Source organism: Homo sapiens, chromosome 12 (assembly GCF_000001405.40).
Source record: "Homo sapiens chromosome 12, GRCh38.p14 Primary Assembly".
Lineage (NCBI taxonomy): Eukaryota > Metazoa > Chordata > Mammalia > Primates > Hominidae > Homo > Homo sapiens.
This window is the reverse complement of record NC_000012.12, coordinates 26,869,502-26,894,436: the sequence shown is the minus strand read 5'-3', so window position 1 is coordinate 26,894,436 and position 24,935 is coordinate 26,869,502. Positions and strand designations below refer to the sequence as shown.

The 24,935-nt window shown below is 42.6% G+C and overlaps 4 annotated features.

Moving 5' to 3' along the window:
- Window positions 9,247-9,421: a silencer, noted in NCBI's record as "fragment chr12:27037949-27038123 (GRCh37/hg19 assembly coordinates)". NCBI's record gives its function as "represses an EF-1alpha promoter that drives an FKBP-Casp9 reporter gene in an ReSE screen in HepG2 liver carcinoma cells {active_cell/tissue: HepG2}" and the evidence as "EXISTENCE:reporter gene assay evidence [ECO:0000049][PMID:32094911]".
- Window positions 19,655-19,855: a silencer, noted in NCBI's record as "peak1624 fragment used in MPRA reporter construct". NCBI's record gives its function as "represses an SCP1 promoter by STARR-seq MPRAs in K562 erythroleukemia cells {active_cell/tissue: K562}" and the evidence as "EXISTENCE:reporter gene assay evidence [ECO:0000049][PMID:32103011]".
- Window positions 19,655-19,911: a biological region, named in NCBI's record as "MPRA-validated peak1624 silencer".
- Window positions 19,742-19,911: an enhancer, noted in NCBI's record as "active region_6129". NCBI's record gives its function as "activates an Ori minimal core promoter by ATAC-STARR-seq in GM12878 lymphoblastoid cells {active_cell/tissue: GM12878}" and the evidence as "EXISTENCE:reporter gene assay evidence [ECO:0000049][PMID:35858748]".

Below are 24,935 nucleotides of genomic sequence, written 5' to 3'. Positions count from 1 at the left end.
ATGTTACTTGAAGCCAGTCATATTTAGTGACAGGCAAACTGGTTGTACCTTGTCTAATATTTCTGTAAACTTTGTAGTTACTCCAAAGGAACCCCTTTGTTGTTGTTGTTGTTTTGTTTTTGTTTTTTGAGACAGGGTCTCACTCTGTTGCCCAGGCTGGAGTGCAGTGGCACAGTCATGGCTCACTGCAGCCTCAACCTCCCAGGCTCAAGTGATCCTCCCCCTCAGCCTCCTGAGTAGTTGGGACTACAGTCATGCGCCACTACGCCTGCTATTTTTTTTAATTTTTAAATTTTTGTTTGTTTTTGTAGAGACAGGCTCTCACTATGTTGCCCAGGCTGGTCGCAGTTTCATGGGCTCAAGCAATCTTCCTGCCTCAGCCTCCCAAAGTGCTAGGATTCAGGTGTGTGCCACCACACCTGGCCCTTAATTTAGACATTTAATTTAAACAAGGAAATCTCCCCCAAATTAAAGATCAATGAAAATTTCCATGGAAATTACCATACAAGTATGTTTTGATTTGAAACAAATTCTAAAGCAATCACTCTGATATGAGTTAGCTAGTTCAGAGAAGAGAAGATGAGCAGAGATGATAGCTTGCATTTAATGAACCATGTGCCAGGCACTGTGCTAAGTACATACTTCATTTTATCTTCACAACAAATATATTGGAATAATTATCCTCAGTTTATAAATGATAGAAGTAATATACTAATGTGAATACCTAATATTACACATATAGTAAATTATACAGCTAGATTTCAAACCCGTTTCACTATAGATACTGAGTTATTAATCATCATACTGCCTGTTTGCAGTATATCATGAGATAAATAAACTAAATGAAAGAGGATGGTTTTAACTTTAGTTATAGAGTTTGAATCTGTTAGCAAGCATTTTTCTAACTCTGGTGGTCTGTAAGACTGCAACAGGGCCAGGCACGGTGGCTCACGCCATAATCCCAGCACTCTGGGAGGCCGAGGCAGATGGATCACCTGAGGTCAGGAGTTTGAGACCACCCTGGCCAACATGGTGAAACCCCATCTCTACTAATAATACAAAAAAAATTAGCCAGGCTTGGTGGTGGATGCCTGTAATTCCAGCTACTCGGGAAGCTGAGGCAGGAGAATTGTTTGAACCCGGGAGGCAGAGGTTGCAGTGAGCCAAGATCACACCATTGCACTCCAGCCTGGGCAACAAGAGCGAAACTCCGTCTCAAAAATAAAATAAAGACTGCAACAGATGAATGATTTAGGAATAATAATAACTGGACAGAGTAATGGCTTGAAGCTCCTTCCAGGTTTGTGAGTCTTTGATCAATCTATTGTAAACACAATACACATTAAATAATGTGTATAAGGCATAAGATGGGTACTGTATTTTGTTATTGACTTTTCTTTTTTTTTTTTTTGAGATGGAGTTTCGCACTTGTTGCCCAGGTTAGAGTGCAATGGCGCGATCTCAGCTCACTGCAACCTCTGCCTCCCGGGTTCAAGCGATTCTCTTGCCTGATCCTCCGGAGTAGCTGGGATTACAGGCACCTGCCACCACGCCTGGCTAATTTTTTGTACTTTTAGTAGAGACGGGGTTTCACCATGTTGGCCGGGCTGGTCTCAAACTCCTGACCTCAGGTGATCCTCCTGCCTTGGCCTCCCAGAGTGCTGGGATTACAGGTATGAAACACCACACCCGGCCTGTTGTTGACTTTTCTTACATGATATATTCTTAAAGTTTTTTCTTCCTAAAAACAACTCTATTCCTTGAAAAAGTTGGAAAATATAGACAAATGTAGAGAAGAAAATCAAGCACATGTAATTTCATCACACGGTTACCACTAGGTTACTCTGTTTTAATTATTTAGTTGGTTGCTGCTTGTTAGTATAAATATTCTCTGAAAAATATGGCAAAGAGAAAGCTCAACAACTCCCACAATCTTACCTTGTACCTTATTAAAGTCAGAGATAGTCCTGTATCTTGCTGTTAATACGTTTTTGGAGGTATGTGGGTAACTTATAAACATGTCAGTAGAATCCAAGTTAAGTACTGTATTGCCTGGCAAAATCTGGCTAGTTCTTGAGAATCCACTGAAAGCTAAATGTTCTGTGCCTCAGAACCAGTCACTAAGAATATGCATCATAGTTTTTGAGCCCATATTTTCAGGTAACTCAAATGCATTTGAAAATTTAGACACCTCAGAAAGGGACAGTTCAGATAAGTCATGTAATTGAGTAAATGATGGGGTCTCCTTAGAATATGACTGAGTTTTGATAATCACATCACCATCACACAATGAGCCTTCATCTACGAGTTTGCTGATGAAACAATCAGTTTCCATGGGCAAAAGAGTTGAGTCAGATGTACTATTCCATACAAATTTTGTATTTATGCTCATGCCAGGAGCTGAAATTATTTCTGTAGGAATGATGAATGAATGAATCTGTTGAGAAACTTCAGGAGTGTCAGATGTGTGATTATGCTCATGAAGGTGCTGTTGACTTAGCTGATTTGACAGGAGTACTTGACTGAACTCAAGGGGAAAATGGGAGGCTGCCAGTGTCTCCCTTGCTGATGCTGTAGGTGTCAAGAGACTGTCAGGTGAATGTACAGATTTTTCCCAGTCGACTGGAACAGAGCCACTCCATTTGCTGAGAAATGTTGTCATTGAAGACAGTACTTCTGAAGGCATGGCTATATCCTGCATTACTGAGGGCTTAAGAAAATGAGAGTACTTGGATAATGAAAGGAGAGCTTGTGAATACCCGGCTTGACTAATTGATTCTGAGACAAGGTCGGGTAAAATAGTGTGCTTTTGTATTTCTGTCCCGTGGATTAGGGTGTGTCCTTTTAGTTCCCACTCTGGAGAGTCTAGATTTTCTACTGACATTGACACTGTAGAAGTTCTACCCTGAAGGAAGTCAAAATCTGTGAATGCAGTAGCCATTAGTACCATCGAAGGAGTGACTTCAGCAAAAGCAGCAGAATATTCAAGGTTTGTAGTCAAGGACATTTCCTGTAGCGAATTCTGTGACACTGCTGTATGCTGTGGCCTTTTAGTCTTTGTGCACTTTTGGAATAAACTCCTTGCAGTATTTGGAATAAAGTTGGGATCAGGGATAGGAGTGATCTGTCTCAAGGCAGCACATAAGCTGGGAATTGGCGATGCCTCATCTTTGGGCATCCAGTGAGTCACTGAGGTGGGTAACAAAACAGAGAAAGGTTTGCTTAGCTTTGTAATGAGTTCAGTTGGCCCCATCGTTGAAGTGGGGATTGAGCTTAACTGCCTGGGTCTTCTTGTTTGAGATTTTTGAAGTAATCTCCAACCTTCAATTGTATATCCTAAAACTTGGGCAAGATACTTAGAGGAAGCTTGCTGTTGAAACACTTGCATTAGCTCTGGCAGTACTGTGGAAACCTTATATCCCATAGGCCAGTGGAATTGTACAAGGTCACCTTGTAAAGTGATGACATGCCTAGGATCTTCAGCCATCACTGGAAGATTCCACAGATGCTTGTTTATCTTGCTTCTGAATGGGCTCATCGTCACTGAAGAAGGATCTAAGTGGAAATAGTCGGCCAGCGTGTATACCAAAAAGAGACGCTCTTGGACACCAAGAGCTTCAGCAGCTGCTTTAAGAGTAATTTCAGCTATAATGGCAGAAAATTCCTTTGAACCTCCTTCGGCCCTAATGCTGAAGATTTAAAACAAAAACACAGCATGGATTACTGCTTGACTAGCAATCCCTTATTTTTATGTATTCCTTCAGAGTTTATGTGGTATTCTCACATACATCCTCTCATTGCTACATCCAACAACTAGGAGGGAAGAGAGGGCAACTATTATTTTTCTTAGTTTATAGTTGAAGAAGCTAAGTTTCAAAGTAGCTAAGTACCCAAAGACGTAGAGTAAGCACCTGATCTAAATCCAGTTATTCTAACTTCAGATGGGAAAGTAGGGGATTTCAATGGAACAGCTGTGGGTTTTGGAGTTTAAAAGTTTAAACTCCAATTTGTCGGTTAGACTGGCTACATTATTTTGAGGTATTTAACTGATCTGAGTCTCGGTTTCTTCAAATAAAAAAGAGGAATAGCACTTAACTTGCAGGGATGTTCTGAATCTTAATTGAGGTAAGACACTTTGCGAGTGAGCTGGCACACTGATGAGCCTTTCACTACCCTGGGCCTTTACTGTTCCTTTCTTTCCCTTCTCTTTCCCTCCCTCTGGCCTTCTCTATCCTTCCTTTCCTCATGTTCCTCCCTCTGTCCTTCCCTTCATTATTCCTTTTGTCCTTTCCTTCTCCATATCCCATATCCTTCCCTTCCTTTCAATTTTCTTTATCTCTCCCTCTGCTTTGCTTGTTATATTTCCTTTTTTTTTTTTTTTTTCCAGAGTCTGGCTCTGTCTCAAGGCTGGAGTGCAATAAGTGGTGCGATCTCGGCTCACTGCAATCTCCACCTCCCAGGTTCAAGCGATTCTCCTGCCTCAGCCTCTGGAGTAGCTGGGACTACAGGCACGCATCACAACGCCCAGCTAATTTTTGTAATTTTAGTAGAGATGGGGTTTCACCATATTGGTCAGGCTGGTCTTGAACTCCTGACCTCAGGTGATCCACCCACCTTGGCCTCCCAAAGTGCTGGGATTACAGGCACGAGCCACTGCTTTGTTACATTTCTTTATCTCTCATCTTTTTTGCAGCTAGACCAACAGCGGGTCCCCTCTCAGATACAAGTACTGGTCAGTGGCCCCTGCAGTTATTGAATGTGCTCTTTTCAGTAACAGCCCATGGTGAGGCTGCAGTTCAGAGCTGGCGTTGGAAGCCAGCGGCTCTAGAAGAGTGTGGTTTGCTGAATGGAAACCAAAGTAGTAATTCTCACAGGACCAGAAAGGCTCTGAGGGTGGGACAGCCCGGTTGAAATGAGCAGTCATTTCAACCTATAATGCATTTCTGGCTAGCTAACTTTTTCAACTTTAGAAATCCATTATGGGCTGGGTGCAGTGGCTCACACCTGTAATCCCAGCACTTTGGGAGGCCAAGGCGGGTGGGTCGCTTGAGGTCAGGAGTTCAAGGCAAGCCTGACCAACATGGTGAAACCCTGTCTCTACTAAAAATACAAACAAATTAGCCGGGCATGGTGGCAGGCGCCTGTAATCCCAGCTACTTGGGAGGCTGAGGCAGGAGAATCACTTGAACCTGGGAGGTGGAGGTAGCAGTGAGCCGAGATCACGCTACTGCACTCCAGCCTGGGTGACAAAGCTAGGCTCCCTCTCAAAAAAAAAAGAAAGAAATCTATTATGGACATTACTTCATCCAGTTTTTGCCAACATCCTCCATCCAAATTAAAACAACTAAATTAGTTAAAGCTACTAATTTAGTCTCTATATGTTATATATGGTTCTGTTATTGCAGTCATACTTTTAAATATTTTTCATATTTTTTAAAATTTTTATTTATAAAATAAATTTATTAAAAATATTTAAAATGTTATTATAAATGATAAAATATAATAAAATAAAAAGGAATAGTAAAAATTTAAAATTTGTTACAAAAATTTATAAAAATAAAATCCTTTCTTAATTTTTATATTTTACATTTCTGTGTACCCTACTGGAATACTACACTATGAGTTGCTTGACAGCAGCTTATTCATATTATCTTCAACTCCTATCTCAGGAGTCTTGTATAAGACGCTTAGGCACTCACCAAATTCTTATTGAATGAATGAGTGAGTCAATGAACAAAAGAACGAAAACAGATGGAATGACATATATGAAAGTACTTTATAAATTGTGAATTGCTGTGTGGGAGTTAGTTATTATTGGCCTGATCTATAATTTTCACAATTTTGCATAAAAATTCTTTTAGAAGATAGAGGTAACTTTCTAGAGAGAAAACTTCAAAGTTTAGGTTGAAAGAGAGAGTAAATGACATGGTTATGTCTACATTTGAAAATAATTTGAGGAAGATAAAAATACTTGAATGTGAATTGTTAGGCTATGTAGAACTGCCTTTTAACCTTTTAAAAATAGATAATACATGAACACAATATAAAAATTCAAAAGGTAAAATAGGAGATTCATTGCCCAATCTCCTAGTTTCTTTCACTTACGTTACCAGAATATTCAGATACGTTCTATGTTTTTATAGACGAATATGTATACAAGAAGCTGCCTTTCAAAAGAGAAAAAGAGAAAGGACTGTTTTCAGCTAGTACGTGGTCGATGAGTATAAAATAAAATGATATGAGAAATAAAAACTTAGTTCTCCAATTTTCATTTACTTGGGAGTTGTTTTCCCATTCAAGGGATTATTGTAATAAGCTTTGTTTTAAGGTTTTATTGTTTAGCAACATTGTGAAAACATCTCTATGTCTTCTGTTCCTCATTCTTTTTTAAATACAAGATTTTATTTCTTCAAATCCTATCCTTGCTTTTTGACTACACTCATAAACTGAGCACTACACACAGCTACTCTGGTACTTACCCATTGGGAGAAGGAACCAAGCTTCCCCTCACCTCATTCCCAGCCAGCACATGAAGGGTAAAGATGAAAGCTGTTTGTGTTTGCTGAAAACAGAGAACCCCAGATACAAGCACCATGATTTGGTAATTTCCTCCCTCATCTTCTAAGGGCAGTCCTTGCAAGGTCTTGGTGGGAGAATGATATTCCAGCCATCTTGGCAGTTTGACATCATGAACTAGGGTAACCTGTTCAGGTATACACGAAACATAAAGTCTGAACTTGCCTTTAGGAAGAGGTTTGAAACTTGCTTGCTCTGTCTCTGTGGCAGCGCATTAATACTAAGAGTTAGCCAGGGCATGGTGGCTCACGCCTCTAATCCCAGCAGTTTGGGAGGCCGAGGCAGGCAGATCACAAGGTCAGGAGTTTGAGACCAGCCTGACCAACATGGTGAAACCCTGTCTCTACTAAAAATACAAAAATTAGCTGGGTGTGGTGGCATGCGCCTGTAATCCCAGCTACTCAGGAGGCTGAGGCAGGAAAATTGCTTGAACCCGGGAGGCGGAGGTTGCAGTGAGCCGAGATCATGCCACTACACTCCAGCCTGGGCGACAGAGCAAGACTCCATCTCAAAACAAACAAACAACAACAAGAAAACAAAAACAAACAAAAAAACCTAAGCGTTAAAGACCTCTGCTGAGGTACGAATGTCAAGTTTCCTCACAAACCCGTTTTTTTTTGTTGCTGTTGTTTGTTTTTTAAATCCCTAGAAACAGATATCTTTTTTCGTCTCAGGTTTATAAAGTCCTTATAAAAAAAATACAAACTTTTACTAGAAACCAGAAAATATCATTAGGCTCATTAAAATATTTGGCTAAGTATTTCTCTAAAAATTTTTTTTACCAAAACCTAACAACTACCTAATATAACTGACGATTAAGGTCTGTCTTAAAAATGCTATATTCTATTAAAGTATTAAGTTGCTCTTCCCAAACTGGGTTCCCCGTAATCAATTATTATTTATGAGCCTTTAAAAATACTTTTATTTTCTCAGTTAATGCTCTGAGACACCAACATAAAAATTATTATGGGAGTCACTTGGAAAATTTGGGTTCTATTTATTTTAATATCTATAAGAACACAATGCTGAACAGATAGGTTAGAGATACATAGATGCTTGCCTGAAACTGACTTATTTTCCCATGGAAGGCATAGGGAGATATTGGATAAGAGAATAATTTTCCAATAATAGCAACCGTGTCTGGCACACCATGATGAACTTGGATCTCTTCACATGAGTAGTGGGTAGTCACAGCTAGCATATTCACAAAGAAAGATGTCAGCACCAGCACAAGGTATGGTATTGCTGAAACTCTTCTGATCCATTTCAGGGGCAAATGGGTGCCAGTGATGTCTGCCCCCATGCTTTTCCTACCAGTATCCATTGCCTCAGTATAGTTAGCTCTGCCTGGGTAACTGGATATCACTTTACTGAACCTTACACTGTTTAAAAACAAAAGCAAAAACATTTGAGCTCAATTAGCACTTCTTGGGAGGAGGAAATAGATTTTATCTATCTTTGGAGCAATATTTAAAGTTTAGAATTCTTTTGTTTTCATATATCATTTGCATCAACTAATGGAGAGTTAAAATGAAAACCCCTACTACCTGCCAACATCACTGCTCTGTGGTGACTATGAAACGAGTAAGAGAAACCATAGATGCATTTTGACCTTGTGTCTGCCTTGCACTGCTCCTGTATCCAGCTCTACTTGGAGTTTAATATTGACTCTTAAGAGGACAAATTAATTAATGTAATAGTACATTGAAAATGTAAAACAAACAACAACAAACAAAAGCCTTCTCAGCATTGGCCTTATTCCCATTTTTCCTCTGTGACCCTGTGATAGACATTAGAGGTTTCTGCCTTTCAGAAGCTTTTTTTTTTTTTTTTTTGAGATGGAGTCTCACTTTGTTGCCCAGGCTGGAGTGCAGTGGTGTGATCTCGGCTCACTGCAACCACCGCCTCCCAGGTTCAAGCAATTCTCCTGTCTTAGCCTCCCGAGTAGCTGGGACTACAGGCACACGCCACCACGCCCAGCTAATTTTTGTATTTTTAGTAGAGATGGCATTTCACCATATTGGTCAGGCTGGTCTTGGACTCCTGACCTCAGGTGATCCACCTGCCTTGGCCTCCCAAAGTGCTGGGATTACAGGTGTGAGCCACCACACCTGGCCTAGAACCTTTTCATCTATGTTCCCTTTTCAGTAGTAACAGCCTTTCTTTGGGAAAATTTCCCTCTCCTACCTCATGATGAGCTGATAGCTGCCAATCAGTCACCCATCTCTTTGGTCAAAGGAGTAAGCAAATGATTCAGGCCTGCTCAATCATAATACTCAGCATCTCTTGCTAGGGGAAAAGACCCATTTGAGTAGGAGACCTGGGCTCAGCTCACCAGAGTCTTTTACTGTTTTCTGTGATTTTATATGGAGACGCTGGGGCACAAAATCTCTCACTTTCTCTCTGGTTGCTCTGATGTTGCCATGTTAACCTACACCATCACTACTACTATTACTACAATGATGACTATCACTACTGTCAGTACCTCTCTTTATTTCCTCTGTCCACTCTTTCCTAGCCCTCTCTCAGTCCACCAAGTCCAGCTTCGCTGATTTCTGTTACTTGCTCTGAAAAAGCTCAGCGATACACAGGTACCCTTGAAAATGTCGAATAACCACTTGTTTCAATTGTCAATTTATTTCCTCTTAGCTCCTGTATCCTCTATCAATAGGCTAAAAGCATTTGTCCCTCGTAGTGAGCACAATTTTCAGACTTGCCAGCAGAGGGCGATAAAGAGACACTGCGGGAGGAAAGAGGCGCTCTTGGTTTCAGCCCACGTTGTGTGAACCGGTATATCCAGTGGCACTCCGCTGCAGCCACTCCGCTCCCTTGGTGATTTGTATGCAGCCCAGCCCAGGCCTAGTGAACCACTTCATCATGACGCTCCTGACAAGGACACTGGCATGTTCCAGACCTCACGTTGGCAGTGACACCCCAACTCTCTCTGTGCACCTGCCCACCGGCCTTGGCTCATCTGTGCCCTGGAGGGCTGTTTCCTGCTGCCTGGTGGCTGTGGACCAGCTCTGGCGCAGGCAGCCCAGCTGACTTCTCTGCATAAAGTGGGCTGCATCCATACTTTCTCTAATGAAGTCTAAACCTCACCCGTGTGGGTGGACTTACCTCCAGGTTTTCCTTTCCTTGGGTACTCTCTTTCTCTCTTTTTTTCTTTCTTTTTTTTTTTTGAGACGGAGTCTTGCTCTGTCTCCCAGGCTAGAGTGCAGTGGCGCCATCTCGGCTCACTGCAAGCTCCGCCTCCCAGGTTCACGCCATTCTCCTGGCTCAGCCTCCCGAGTAGCTGGGACTACAGGCGCCCGCCACCACGCCCGGCTAATTTTTTGTATTTTTAGCAGAGACGGGGTTTCACCATGTTAGCCAGGATACTCTCGATGTCCTGACCTCGTGATCCGCCCGCCTTGGCCTCCCAAAGTGCTGGGATTACAGGCGTGAGCCACTGAGCCCGGCCTCCTTGGGTACTCTCTATTACCCCTAAGACACGCTTTCCAGTTTCTTTCCTTCCTTTCTTTCTCTCTTTCTCTCTCTCTCTCTTTCTTTCTTTCTCCCTTTCCCTTTTTCTCTTTCTCTTTCCCCTTCCTTCCCTCTCTCGTTCTTTCTTTCCTTCCTTCCTTCTTTCTTTCTTTCTTTCTTTCTTTCTTTCTTTCTTTCTTTCTTTCTTCTTTCTTTCTCTCTTTCTTTCTTCCTTTCTTCTCTTTCACCGGGTCTCACTCTGTCACCCAGGGTTGAATGCAGTGACTGTGATCATGGCTCACTGGAACCTCCACATCCCAGGCCCAAGAGATCCTCCCACCTCAGCCTCCTGAGTAGCTGGCCCAGGAGATCCCAGGCCCAAGAGATCCTCCGACCACAGCCTCTTGAGTAGCTGGGACCACAGCCACCACACTTGGCTAATTTTTTAATTTTTGTAGAGACAGGGTCTTGCCATGTTGCCCAGACTGGTCTTGAACTCCTGGGCTCAAGTGATTCTCCCACCTTGGCCTCCCAAAACGCTGGGATTATAGGTGTGAGCCACTATGCCCAGCCACCAGTCCTCTTTCCATCTTTTTTAGTTACTCCTCTGTCCTAGTTTAGCAATTTATATTCAACTTCTTCTGTTCAAATTACTGAGTGGTTTCTGTCTCCTGATTGGACCCAGACAGATTAACCCTTATTCTTACCATTTCTTGACTCCTAGTTTCTGTGACCAGCTTGATTTTTGTCTTACTTTTATATCATCATCATCATCATCATCATCATCATCATCATCATCATCATATCTCTGAAGTGTGCAAAATGGGAGAAACAATGCCTGTCTTACCCAATGCTGCATATATGGGAGAGTTTGTAAATTATAGGGTGATATTTTATGTTTGCTGTATATATTCCCGAACAACACTTCCTTATCTTTGCTGGATTTTCTTCCATCCCATCCTCTCTCTAAACATTCCCAGGAGGTTGGTGCTTGGCTTTTGCCTTCTCTCTGTACCTTGGCTTTCCCAATCTATTGCTTCATCCTAATCTCTTGCTTGAACTCTCCCCCTACTCCACCCTGCCCCCGTCTCTCCTACTGTCATCACTTATTCTCCATGGTCTTCATGCTGGAAGATAAGGACCTACATTTTTAACTTTACGGTCAAACTTTATTCATTCAACACACATGAGGGCCTATCATGGGCAAGACACAGTTGTAGGTGCTGAGCACAAAGGACTGAACAAGACAGGCAAAGCCCCTGCTCTTACGGAGTTTACATTCCACAATTTAACCCTACTCTGATCTTCCAGACTTCTCTCTCTACATTAACTTGTGCTCCAGGGGAAAGTGAATGTCTCAATGTTATTTTTCTGCCTTTCTACCAATTATCCCACCTGCAGTGACATCCAGCCCCTCTGTCTACCCAAACCCTGTGTGTTTTCCAAGACCTAGTTTATATCCATCCATGAATCCTCAGTAGAAAACTCCAAAGCACTTCTTACAGCAGTGATTCACAACTATTTCCAGTAGCAACATATCTGAGAGATAACACATGTTCTTTTTTTTTTTGAGACTGAGTCTCGCTCCGTCGCCCAGGCTGGAGTGCAGTGGCACGATCTCGGCTCACTGCAAGCTTCACCTTCCGGGTTCACGCCATTCTCCTGCCTCAGCCTCCCAAGTAGCTGGGACTACAGGCACCTGCCACCACGCCCAGCTAATTTTTTTGTATTTTTAGTAGAGACGGGGCTTCACTGTGTTAGCCAGGACGGTCTCGATCTCCTGACCTCGTGATCCACCCACCTCAGCCTCCCAAAGTGCTGGGATTACAGGTGTGAGCCACCACGCCCAGCCAACACATGTTCTTTTGTAACAGTGGCTCCATATGCATTGATTCTCAATGAATAAAGGGAGATTTTTTACCAGAATCTCAGCACTTAGGCATGGAGAGCATGTATAGTTTCAAAGAATTGCTCCAGTGATTCTGGTATGTCTCCATAGAGGGTGTCCTTCCCTCTATGGAGTTCCTTCCTTCTTCTCCACACCCTGTTGAGAATCACTGGTATTGGTTATAGGTGTCAGAAACATGAGTCAATTGAACCATTCTTCCTGGTGGCAATTGCAGGAGAATTAACAGAAGTAACTACCCTTGCTTGCTTGGCTTTCAAGAGGGAAACTGTTTTAGTACATTGGGGCTGCTATAACAAATTACCATAGACTAATTGGCTTATTAACAACAGAAGTTTTGTTTGTTTTGTTTTGTTTTGTTTTTGAAACAGGTTCTGACTCCGTTGCCCAGGCTGGAGTGCAGTGGCATGATCTCAGCTCACTGTAACCTCCACCCCCCATGTTCAAGCGATTCTCCTGCCTCAGCCTCCTGAGTAGCTGGGATTACAGGCACGTGCCACCACGCCCAGCGGAATTATTATATCTTTTATTCTTACACTGATGACGTAGCCTTTTGGGACCCCAGTTTAGATTCTTCCCTTTTGTGGGGACCTTAGGCTTTGTTTCTTGTCCCCCGTGTACCATGCAGCCATTTAAGTAGGGATGCAGTCTTCAAGGTCACTCAGGAAGTCTCAAGGACAAAGCTTGCTTACCTCTTAAGGTGCCTGCCTTTGCTGGGTTTGGAGAGCTAAGTATTCTTGCTTTCTGCTGTCTCAAGAGTTTAAAAAGATACTTTTATCCAGCGTTTTATTTGTTTCTATTGGGAAAGTCATTTAGGGTATCTAATCTGCATTACTACTGAAAATGGAGAAGTCTGGTAAAATTCCAACTTGAATGCAATTATTTTTATCAATAGGGTTTCTTTTTTGACACAAAGAACCCAGTGACTAGAAAGCCTCCCAATTTGGATTCAGTTTAGCAGAGAGAGCAGAGGAGAATCTATTACAAGGTAGAGGGACTGTAGTTCTAGCTATTTTCTTTAGGTCTTTGTGGCTGCCAGGGCACCTGGAACCTGATTATTTGCTGGCTTTCAGAATTGACTACTCCAGATCTGTATCATTGACACTGAAATGTGAAATGTGAGTTTTGAAAGAGATTTGGATGAAACTCCCCCTAGTAACTTACTGTTTATAAACAAGTTATATGGAGTTAAGTGAGAGATCCACTCTGGGAGTGGTGAGTACTTGATACTAGATAGGATAATGTAAACTCCACTGATAGGTGTAGCCAGGTGTGCTGTACTAACACCCAGAGAAAACAGTTCTCCTTGCCTTACCTTTTTTCTTTTGACTTGCTCAGTTGTCTTGAGATCAGTACAGATACTGTTTTCTGAGAACATTTCTGAAAAATAGTTTACTTTTTAAATTCATTTGAGCAAACTACTCTCAACGGCAATAGCAAGATGATAAACGCTGTGTTCTCAGAAAAAGGCAAATGACTATCTTCCTCTTTCTTCCACTCTAGGGACAATGAAGCCTGGTGTAGTGAGAGTTCCTGGAGCAAACCAACAAAATGAGGCACACTCCATGCTCTGCTTCTGCTGCCTGGAGCCCACATTGACCCAAGATTTCTTCCAGCTTAAAAATGCTACCATTTTAAAGAAAATGTGGCACATATACACCATGGAATACTATGCAGCCATAAAAAAGGATGAGTTGATGTCCTTTGCAGGGACATGGATGAAGCTGGAAACCATCATCTGCAGCAAACTAACACAGGAACAGAAAACCCAGCACTGCATGTTCTCACTCATAAGTGAGTTGAACAATGAGAACACATAGCCACAGGGAGGGGAACGTCACACTCCGGGACCTGTTGGGGGGTAGGGGGGAAAAGGGAGGGAGAGCATTAGGACAACTGCCTAATGTATGCAGGGCTTAAAACCTAGATGGTGGGTTGATAGGTACAACAAACAAACTGCCATGGCATATGTATACCTGTGTAACAAACCTGCATGTTCAGCACGTGTATCCCAGAACTTAAAGTTAAAAAAAAAAAAAAAAGCTATCATTTCTCTGATGTACTGCAGGCTGCTAATAGAAACTTCCATGATCGCTCGGAAAGCAGTTAGGTGAATGTGGCTTCTCAATATATGGTAAGCAGCTCATGGCCAGTGACAAGACCATCTGCTTCCCCTACAAGTCTTGTTCAAGTAGGCAATCCACGATACTGGCCAAAAAGACACCGGTAAGCAGTTTAGAATGCCTGAGTAAAAGCTCCCACAAACAGCAGATTTTTCAACAATTTTATAAACACTTCTTGGCCGGGTACAGTGGCTCACGCCTGTAATCCCAACACTTTGGGAGACTGAGAGGCGGATGGATCAACTGAGGTCGGGAGCTCGAGACCAGCCTGACTAAGATGGAGAAACCCTGTCTCTACTAAAAATACAAAATTAGCCGGGTGTGGTGGTGCACGCTTGTAATCCCAGCTACTCAGGAGGCTGAGGCAGGAAAATCGCTCGAATCTGGGAGGCAGATGTTGCAGTGAGCTGAGATCACGCCATTGCACTCCAGCCTGCGCCACAGAGCATGACTCCATCTCAAAACCAACCAACAAACTAACCAACCAACCAAACAAACAAAATTTCTTGAGTGCCTACTATGGTCTGGTTTTGTGTTGAGTGTTAGAGATAAAACAGTGGACGAGACCAATCCCCTCCCCACTTGCGCAGCTCATAATCCTCTAGTGGAGGACGTAGACAAGAAAAGAGGCGATTCTGTTAGAGTTTGGCGAGTGCCAGGATAGGGGTGGTAGATGCTGCTACCTAAACCATCTCTGTGTCTACTTTACTGAAAGGATTACTGGCTGTCCACTGAGCTTTTTAGTCAAAATTATAATACACATCATAACAGCACATATAATATGGTATGCTGGAAATGAACCGCCATACATAAAAGAGGAGATTTGGAGGATGGGGGAGGGTGGCAAGAAATGATGTTGGAAAATTATAATTATTTGACTTTTTTTTAACCTTTCAGAGGGTTTTCAAACACATTATATCAAGAGAAGTTGTTTAATAAATGATACATTGGTACATTTTCCTGGCATGCAGAACACATAGAAAAGAGTAGGGAAAGGAAATAAAGAACATTTTTCATTTGGAACTAAGAAATCAAATTTTAGTATTTTTTCATGGCCACGAAAGTCTTATTTTTAAAATTAAAATCCTTATGTAGAGAATATTTGACATCTTCATTGTGAGCTCTGAACATATCCCTTTTCTAATGCAGCCACGTAAGCGAATCAGACATTAATGGACCAAAAAGTTCATCAACACACAGGCTTGTCAATGAACAGGAATGGCACGAGCACCAGAATGTGTTGGTGTTTTCTCAGGAATAAGAGTTAAATAAAGCTCGACTCTGTCAGTGGCACACGGCGCCAGCACCCTGGCCCACAGACACTTCACGGTTTGGTAGTTCCTGCTTGTCAGCACCTGTGCTTCTCTATGCTTCTTTGCTTGAGCTCTGGGCACAAAAGTGGAGTTTGATAGTTAAGTATTTTAGCAACTGTCTCCATGGTGACTGGGCCAGGAAATGAGCTTTGACCTGACTCTATTTTATGTATTGGGAGCCCGGCTCCAGGCCCTGAGCCTTCTTCTGCACCTTGCCTGGAGAAGCTGCAGCTGGCATCCTTCCCCTTGGGCCCTGGCCATCTGGCCCACTTGCCAGGGATTGTTTTCTCCACATCAGGAGATCTGGGCAACCACTCCCTTCTGAGAGGCAGCTGCGAGGGAGGGTGTGGGAGTGGAAAGCCTATTTTAAGTAGGGAATAATGGGAGACACAAGGCTTCCCAGGACAGCTTGGTGTGAAAAGAAAATTTTATTTCAGTTGTTTGATATCTTCAATGATATTCTTCTGTGCAGTATGTCTTTGTCAGTACTAGTTCTACCTGGAATGTTTATACTTATTCCCTCTTTTTGAGAAAAACATCTTGATTCAGTTAAAAACATTCCATTATTTTAGAGGGCTAAGTTTTCAGTACTGGGCTCTTTGCCTCACATTGACAGGTCACAAAGAGAAGTTGTCTTAGTGAATGGGACATTAAAGACTGTGTTTTGATGCGTTCCAGGAAAATGAAATGCCATCTCCTGGGACATAGTCTGTGGGTGGGATGCTGTGTGGGAACCCTGAGCGCCAGTGACTGTTAGTATTGGTGGGAGTGAGTTAGGCATCCGGAGGGAGGAGGGATAGAACAGAAAAGAAGGTTAACTTGCCCTACCTTATTCATTTTGCTTAGGGCATAATCAGTACCATAGCAGATTCATCCAGAAGTAATTTTCCTAATCACCAGAAGGGGGACCTGGCTGACTATAGTCAGGTGATTGCATTTTTTTTTTTTTTGGGAGACTGAGGCAGGAGAATCGCTTGAACCTGGGAAACAAAGGCTGCAGTGAGCTGAGATCATACTGCTGCACTCAGCCTGAGCAGCAGAGTGAGACTCTGTCTCAAAAAAAAAAAAAAAAAAATATGTTCTTAGTGGCATCTGGAATGGTGAATCCTTTCCAGAAGGATTTCAATTTGCTTTGTCCAGATCCATCAGAGAAATCACTATCTGTGGCAGCAATCGCCGTACAAAATGCATTTCTTAAATAATAAGACTTGAAATTCAAAATGCCTTCTTAATCCAAGGGCCGCAGAGTGAATGTTGCGTCAGCAGGCAAGAAAATAACATTAATCTGCTTGTGCACCTCCAACACAGTTCTTGGGTGACCAGGTGCATTGTCAATAAGCAGTAATATTTTGAGAGTAATCTTATTTTTTTCTGAGCAGTAGGTCTCAATAGTGGGCTTAAAATATTCCATAAACCATGCTGCAGAAGATGTGCTGTTATCCAGGCTTTCTTGTTCCATTATTCAGAAATCACAGGCAGAATACATTTAGCATACTTCTTAAGGGCCCTAGCATGTTCAAAATGGTAAATGAGCATTGGCTTCAATTTAAAGTCACTAGCTGCATTAGCATCTAACAAGACAATCTGCCTGTCCTTTGAAGCTTTGAAACTTTGAAGCCAGGCATTGACTTCTCCTCTCTAGCTCTGAAAGTCCCGGGATGGCATCTTCTTCCAATAGAAGGCTGTTTAATCTACATTGAAAATGTGTTATTTAGTGTAGCCATCTTCCAACAATGATCTTAACTAGACTTTTTTTTTTTTTTTTTTGAGACAGGGTCTTGCTCTGTCGCCCAGGCTGGAGTGCAGTGGCACGATCTTGGCTCGCTGCAACCTCTGCTAACCAAGTTCAAGCGATTCTCCTGCCTCAGCCTCCTGAGTAGCTGGAATTACAGATGCCAGCCACTATGCCCAGCTAATTTTTGTATTTTTAGTAGAGAAGGGGTTTCGCCATGTTGGCCAGGGTGGTCTGGAACTCCTGACCTCAGGTGATCCACCTGCCTCGGCCTCCCAAAGTGCTGGGATTACAGGCGTGAGCCACCGTGCCTGGCTTAACTAGATCTTCTGGATAAATTGCTACAGCCTCTCCATCAGCACTTGCTGCTTCAGCTCGCACTTTTACGTTATGGAGACAGCTTCTTTCCGTAAACCTCATAAATCAACAGCTGCCAGCTTCAGACTTTTCTTCTGCAGCTTCTTCACCTCTCTCAGCCTTTATAGAATTGAAAAGAATTAAGACCTTCACCTGAATTAGGCTTTGGCTTAAGGAAATGTGTTGGTTGGTTTGATCTTCTATCCAGACCACTAAAACTTTCTTCATATCAGCAATGAGGCGGCTGTATTGCTTTCTTATCATCGGTGTGTTCACTGGAGTAGAACGTTTAATTTCCATCAAGAACTTATTCTTTGCATTCACACCTTGGCTAACTGTCTAGCACAAGAGTCCTGGGTTATTATTATTATTTTTAAATCTATCTTAGCTTTCCACATGCCTTCCTCACTAAGCTTAATCATTTTTAGCTTTTGATTTAAAGTGAGAGACTTGAGACTCTTCCTTTCCTTTGAACACTGATAGGCCATTGTAGGGTTATTAATTGGCCTAATGTCAATATTGCTATGCCTCAGGAAACAGGGAAGCTAGAGGAGAGGGAGAGAAATGAGAGAATGGCTGATCAATGGAGCAGTCAGAATACACACAACATTCACTGATTAAGCTCACCGTCGTATAGGGGTCTCGTTCATGGCACCACAAAGCAATTCCAATAGTAACCATCAAAGATCACTGATCACACATCACCACAACAGATACAATAATTTTAAAGTTTGGGCCAGTTCAGTGGCTCATGCCTGTCATCCCAGCACTCTGGGAGGCCTAGGGAAGAGGGCTGCTTGAGCCCAGGAGTTCGAAACCAGACTGGGCTATGTAGTGAGACAGCTCTAAAAATATATATTTTTTAGTTTGAAATATTATGAGACTTACTAAAATGTCAAACAGAGATAGAAAGTGAGCACATGCTGTCAGAAAAATGGTGCAGATAGATTTGCTTGATTGAGTTTGCCATAAACCTTCAATTTTTTTTAAAACACAGTATCTGTGAAGTGTAATAAAGAGAGGTGACAATAGAAGTAGGTACACCTGTACAACGTATTTGCTCCTGACTGCCTTAACCTAAGTTAGAAAATCATCTAACATGGCCAGTGCAGTGGCTCATGCCTGTAATCCCAGCACTTTGGGAGGCCGAGGCGGGCAGATCACCTGAGGTCAGGAGCTCAAGACCAGCCTGGCCAACAAGGTGAAACCCCATCTCTACTAAAAATACAAAACTAGCTGGGTGTGGTGGCAGGTACCTGCAGTCCCAGCTACTTGGGAAGCTGAGGCACAAGAATTGCTTGAACCCAGGAGGTTGCAGTGAGCTGGGATTGCACCACTGCATTCCAGTCTGGGGGACGAAGCAAGACTCCATCACCAAAAAATAAAAAAAGAAAATCATCTAAGACTCTCCTTTCCCCAAGTCACACACCTCTATCTTTCCCTCCTTTGGGCCCAGGGATCATATCAGCTGTCTTCTATTCTTCCACCTGGGCCTATTTTCTCTTGGGCCTTCTGCTGAACTGAATTCAGCTCTTCAACTTCTCTTCACATCTCTTCATTCCCTTTTCAGACACCCCCAAAAAACTCTTGACTTTAGAAAAATATTTGTAGTCTTTAGGAACTATATTGAAGTAAACACATGAGGGTAAAAATGAAAAAATGAAACCAAACATCAGAAAGTTACTAAATTTAAGAAAAGAAGGATGAAAGCGGAAAAGTATGTATCTGCAGTTCCCAAATGGGTGTGCAGTGAAATTTGTTTTGCTGGGCAGCAGTAAGCAGGCAGGAAACTGTTTTGTATTCAAAGCTTGGAAACTCTGGCTTAAACCAAGTTGTGTCAGTTTATTTGTTGCAGACCTTCTTTGATCCTTTAACATGCCAAAATAATTTTGAGTTTGCATGAGGAATTTTAGGCCTTGGTGTTCCCAACTTCTCTGACCATGTTATGGCATGGTGATAATATTTCTTGCAGCGATAGCTGTCCTTGGCCAATTGTAGATGAGGTGGAACCTGGTCTGTCCTACGTGCAATTGTCTTCCACTTATACTCATAGTATAGGAAATTCTTCTTCTAGGAATTGGCGCTATTCACACTCCTCTCCCAATCCACTCCCCATTTCTGAGACTGGTTTTCCCTGCTTGTGTCAGCAAAACTTGTCCTTGGTCCCTTTCTCCTTTTGCCTGACAACATAAGTCAAAGAGGTGGAACAACAGCTGTTGTTAGGCCGCTGAGTCTCTAGTGGTTCAAGTGACAACATTTCCTCAAAGAAATTGGCTGTGTGGTCAATTTGTTTTTGTCTCTTCGGCGAGGGTCATCTCTGGGTCATTCCTGCAGAGGTGATATATGGGGAACTGGAAACTATTAAGTAAGACTGAAAGAGCTGCTGTGGAGTGTGCTGCACAGAGAAGAGCCATACACATACTATAACTTGTGTTGGACAGGAGGACTCTTGCAAAGGATTCAACCAATAAATGACGCTCATCGAAAAAACTTCTGCTTCAAACTAAACAAATCCCAGGGTGAAAGTTTATGATCAGAGACTCTGAAGAGTATAAGCAGGGAAGTCCCATTAACTCACCAGGAATAAGGTGCAGGCATTTTCAATCAAAGGTAAATTTGGGGTTCTCCAAATAGGATGACCTCAGTGAATATGATGGCTTTAAAAGCAGGGGACAAACCGAAAGGGACATATTGTCCGTAATGAGTTTCTTTTTTCCTCTGGATTTCCATTTGTAAGCCTCACATACTGTTCCTTCCTTGGACTATTCTATCTGAAGTAGGACTGTCTACTGCAGGTACAACTGTAGTGATATGAACACCAGGTCACATATGTAACTGTATAAAAAATCTATGTTTATTTTCCTATAACGCAATCTAATTTTTGTTTGAGCCTCCATCCCTTCAATGTAGCAGAAATGCACCTCTGTCAATTTGGGGAGGTCCCCCACCCTTCCCAGGTTGCACCTAACTTCTGGAGGATGCAGAATTTTTGTCCCAGTGACAAAAAGTGGCACATGGGGGTATAGGGTTTGAGTCTGGTCTCTGGTCATTTTCCGGTCTAGGGCATTCACTGTGACGGCCAACACTAGAGTCACAAAAAAATCCCCCAACACTCCAGCTCCCACGGGGCCCACCCCCTCAATATTAATCTCTGGATGCACCTCAAAATCATTTCTCTTCCGGGATATTCTTGCTTTATCTCTTTGATCTGGGAATCCACAGACCTGTCTGAAGCTTGAGTAATCCCCCCTTCTCATCTGACACTTGAATGGGTGAGGGAGGAAGGGAAGGGCCCTTCTCAGTGGTCACCTTCACATCCCTGTGCTCCTGACTTCTAACCCCTTCCTTCCCCCACAGCTGGGAAATCTCTGTGTAATCTTGCATGAGATTTCTTTCTCTCGCTTAACAAATAGGCTTCTAAATCTTACGTACGCCTGTATCTTTCCCATTCCCCATGGGGACTTGAGTTTTGGAGACTCAAAAGTCAAAAGAATCTCATTTGTTTCTCTACTTTCTGTTAACTTACACTGCCTGGGGGTAGTGGAACTCAGAATAGTCTATCTGAGAGACTTGAAAGATGGTAAGAACGAGATCAGAGAAAATATTACAGGAAAACAGTGACTAATGCTTCAAAAGTATGTCCTACCCCATAATTATTGATTAATTCCCTAAGAGAAGTGGCTGGGATGGCATTTGGAACAAAGACGAAACCTTTTGATATGTGCTAAATGGCATATAGAAGCTGTAATATAACACATGGGAGATCTTAAGAAAAAATATTATTTGTAACAAATAGAAATTATTTAGGATATGCGCTAGATTATATGGAGGTCCCTCTCTCTCTACTGTGACTTGGCTGTAGAACCTGAGGCTCCTTGCTTCTCCTTCTAAGTACCGGCTTTCTCATTTGTTAAGTGGTGATAATAACCCTGACTTCACAAGATTTTTGTGAGAATTAAATTCAATTAAATCATCAAGGAGATGCATGATAGCCATTTAGCAAATGCTTGTTTGTCCTTTTGCTCTTTCATCCATTCACATGTTTATCTTTTCTCATCAGATATGCACACCCTACTTCTCCATAGCAAGACCACAGCCACTGTTAATGAACCTTGTGTAATATGTATAATAGGTGGTTGGGTGGGTGTGGCTCCATCCTACCCACTTATCTCATCCGTTACAAATGTACACCCTAAGTAAAATCCATAAAGGTAAGCCTTGGGTTCACTATTCCTATAGAGCTGATGAAACAAATGCTTATGACTAAGACCTCCCCATGGCCCTTAGTGGTTCCTAATGAATGAGTTTTGAGTAGAAACATTATCTTTAATGACAGCCTTTAAGCATGCACAGCACCTGCCTCCGCATCTCTTTAAGTGAACATTATCAGTGATGTTTTCTAGGCTTCACATACAGCATTGGAGGAGATAAAATCTTAGATCTAGAGTGGAATTCATAACTGCTATTTTTCTTTTTAAAATTGAGGTACAATTTTCACACAATAAAGTGCACAGGTCTTAAGTGTTCAATTTAGTGAGTTTTGACAATTCCACACAGCCATGTAACTGCTATCCAAAACAAAAATTTAACATTTTCATTACCCCAGACATTTCCTTATGCTCCTTTCCAGTCAACTGTCCCCCCAGCATGGCAGCATTTTTCAGTATGACAGCTCCCACATATTCTTAGGGGTGCTTTCTATTTTATTTAACATTGAAACTCTCACAACTGCCTTCTGTTGGAAGTAGGCTAATAATGAGAGCCAACACTTGCTAAGAAGAGATTTCATGCATCATCGCACTTAATATTCATAACTATCCTGTGAGGTAGGAACTATTATTTCTTCATTTTACAGATAAGGAAACTGAAGCTTAATGAGATAAAGTTGCTCACGGGTCAATGAGCTCTTCAGTAGCAGAGCTGGGATTTGAACTCAGATTGGTCTGATTCCAGACCTTGACTTTGTAACCAATATGCTACTGTGCTAAGGAGCAGAGGTGCCTCACGGTTTAGATAATGAGTGCGATTTTTCCCAGGTCTGGATTTTGTAAGAAAGGAAAAAAAGTATAAGTTGTTTATATATATATGTGTATATATATACACATATATATATACATATTCACAGTATAATCCCATTTCATTTAATATACTTATGAGACTTGTTCCCCTTTCATTAAATTGTGCCAGCAAGATTTTTACTAGTTGACTGTTAAGAACTGGTAATAGTAATAATGATCATCATAATGATGACTTTTATGAGAGCAACCATTTTTTAATACTTAACTATGTGTCAGGTGCTGTGTGAAACACTGCACCTAAATTTCCTTATTTAGTTCTCGTAATCACTATAATGGTAGTGTCTGTTACTAACATTTTTTTTTTTTTTTTTGAGACACAGTCTTGCTCTGTCACCCAGGCTGGAGTGCAGTGGCACAATCATGGCTCACTGCAACCTTGACCTCCTGGGCTCAAGTGATTCTCCCACCTTAGCCTCCCGAGTAGCTGGAACCCACCATGCCCAGCTAATTTTTTAGTTTTGTAGAGATGGGGTCTCGCCATGTTGCCCAGGCTGATCTTGCACTCCGGGGCTCAAGCATTCCTCCCACCTCAGCCTCCCAAACTGCTGGGATTACAGGTGTGAGTCACTACGCCCAGCCCATTTTTACAGGCTAAAAATGTGAGGCTTAGAGAGTCTGAGTGACTTGCGAAAGCTGCACAGCTAGAAAGTAGTGGAGCCGATTTTGAATCTTGGCAGTCTACCCAGAGAGCCTTTACTTTCAACCACTACATCCTCTTGATCCTCTGCATATGCCCTCGGTCCTGTTGATAAAGAATGGTCTTGGTTCCTGCCTGAAACAGCTTTCATCAGAATTAAATATGTGTGTGTGAATTCTGCCAGCTGGCTCTTTTTTAGATAAGATCATTTTAGTTCCAAACACTTAGGTCCACCTGGGCTTTAGAACGTGGGAAATAGCCAGGCTGGCCCTGGGCCAAGTTGTGAAGTAAAGGAAGTGTGTCTGGGACATTTTATCCTCCTCTGCACGTTGCCATACCCTCTAAAGATCCTATCAACCAAAGACTGCTCACCTTTCAATTCCTGGAGCCCAAGTCTTGCCAGAGGAACTGAGTCCTTCAGCTGTGGGCTTGTTGAGAGCCCTGCTTTTGCCCCTCCCTTGCCCCAGCCTGGGGTGGCTTTTCCCATTTATATCGAAGCCAGTTTCACTCTAGCTTTCCTGTCCAAGCCTGTGCTGATACCCTTAGGTAGGGAGGCTGGTAGAGGCTCTCCGGACATCCGAGGCTCTCTAGAAATAGGGCCTTTATCTATTTTTGGCAATCTCAGAGGTGTGTCTTCCAGTACTGATAGGAAAGGCAGGCAGGGCAACCTTACTGATAACAACAGCTCATCTGCAGATAGCATTGAATCTGTGTGCTGTGCTGTTCTGAGTGCTTTATAATACATATTAGTTTATTTAATCCTCAGTACAGCTCCAGGCAGTGTGTTTGTCAAGGCAAGAGACAGGGGTCACACAGGTGGAATTCTGAAGAGAATTTAAGGAAGGGACTATTTACAGATGAGTAGGTAGATTTAAGTGAATCCATGAGGGATGGGGAGGCATCCAGGAAACCAGCAGCAGTGGGCAGCTGTTCCCAGCCCTGGGCAGAAGGGGCAAGCCAAGGACCTCGTGTAACCGGAGCCTGATGAGGAGCTGCTGTAGGAAGGGCAGCTCTGCGGAGCTGTCTGTGTCTAGAGGGATGTGGCCAGAGCCCCAGTGGTGTGTGGGCAGGTGAGGAGTGAGGGAAACGCTGACTGCTCTCTCTTTCCTGTTTCCTTCCCGTTTCCCATTGGCTGAAACAACCAAAAGCCTGAGGTCAAGGGGTCAGTCCAGGTGATACAGGCTTGATGTGTCAGTCCCCAGAGGGCTCAGTACAGGGCCTAAAGGCACACCGAGAATAATCAGCCCATGAAGGAAGTGAGGCACAGAGAGGCTGAGCCATGGGCCCACATTCAAGGAGCTGGGAAGTGGCAGAACCAGGATCTGAACTGAGGCTGATAAATCTGCTCTTAACCACTCCACCACACTGGCTCTAGCATTTTCTTTCACACTTACGTAGTGTCTTACAGTTTTCAGAGAGATACTGGTGCCAAAAGACCTGAGAAACTACTTTGGAAGGTGCCCCAGTCGTATTATTCCCATCGAATTGATTCTAGTCTGACTCTAGGATCAGACTTTTGGTGTCACTATTAGGTAGAACTACTGGGATGAATGTAGTCCAATCTATGTAAGTTGTAAATTAAAAATAATATCATAAGTCCCCCACCGAGTGGAACTGTTTTGGCCAAGGGGACCCCAGAAAAACCTTAAAAACTGAGTTGCCAGGCCAGGCTCAGTGGCTCACATCTATAATCCCAGCACTTTAGGAGGCTGTGGCAGGCGAATTGCTTGAGCTCAGGAGTTCGACAC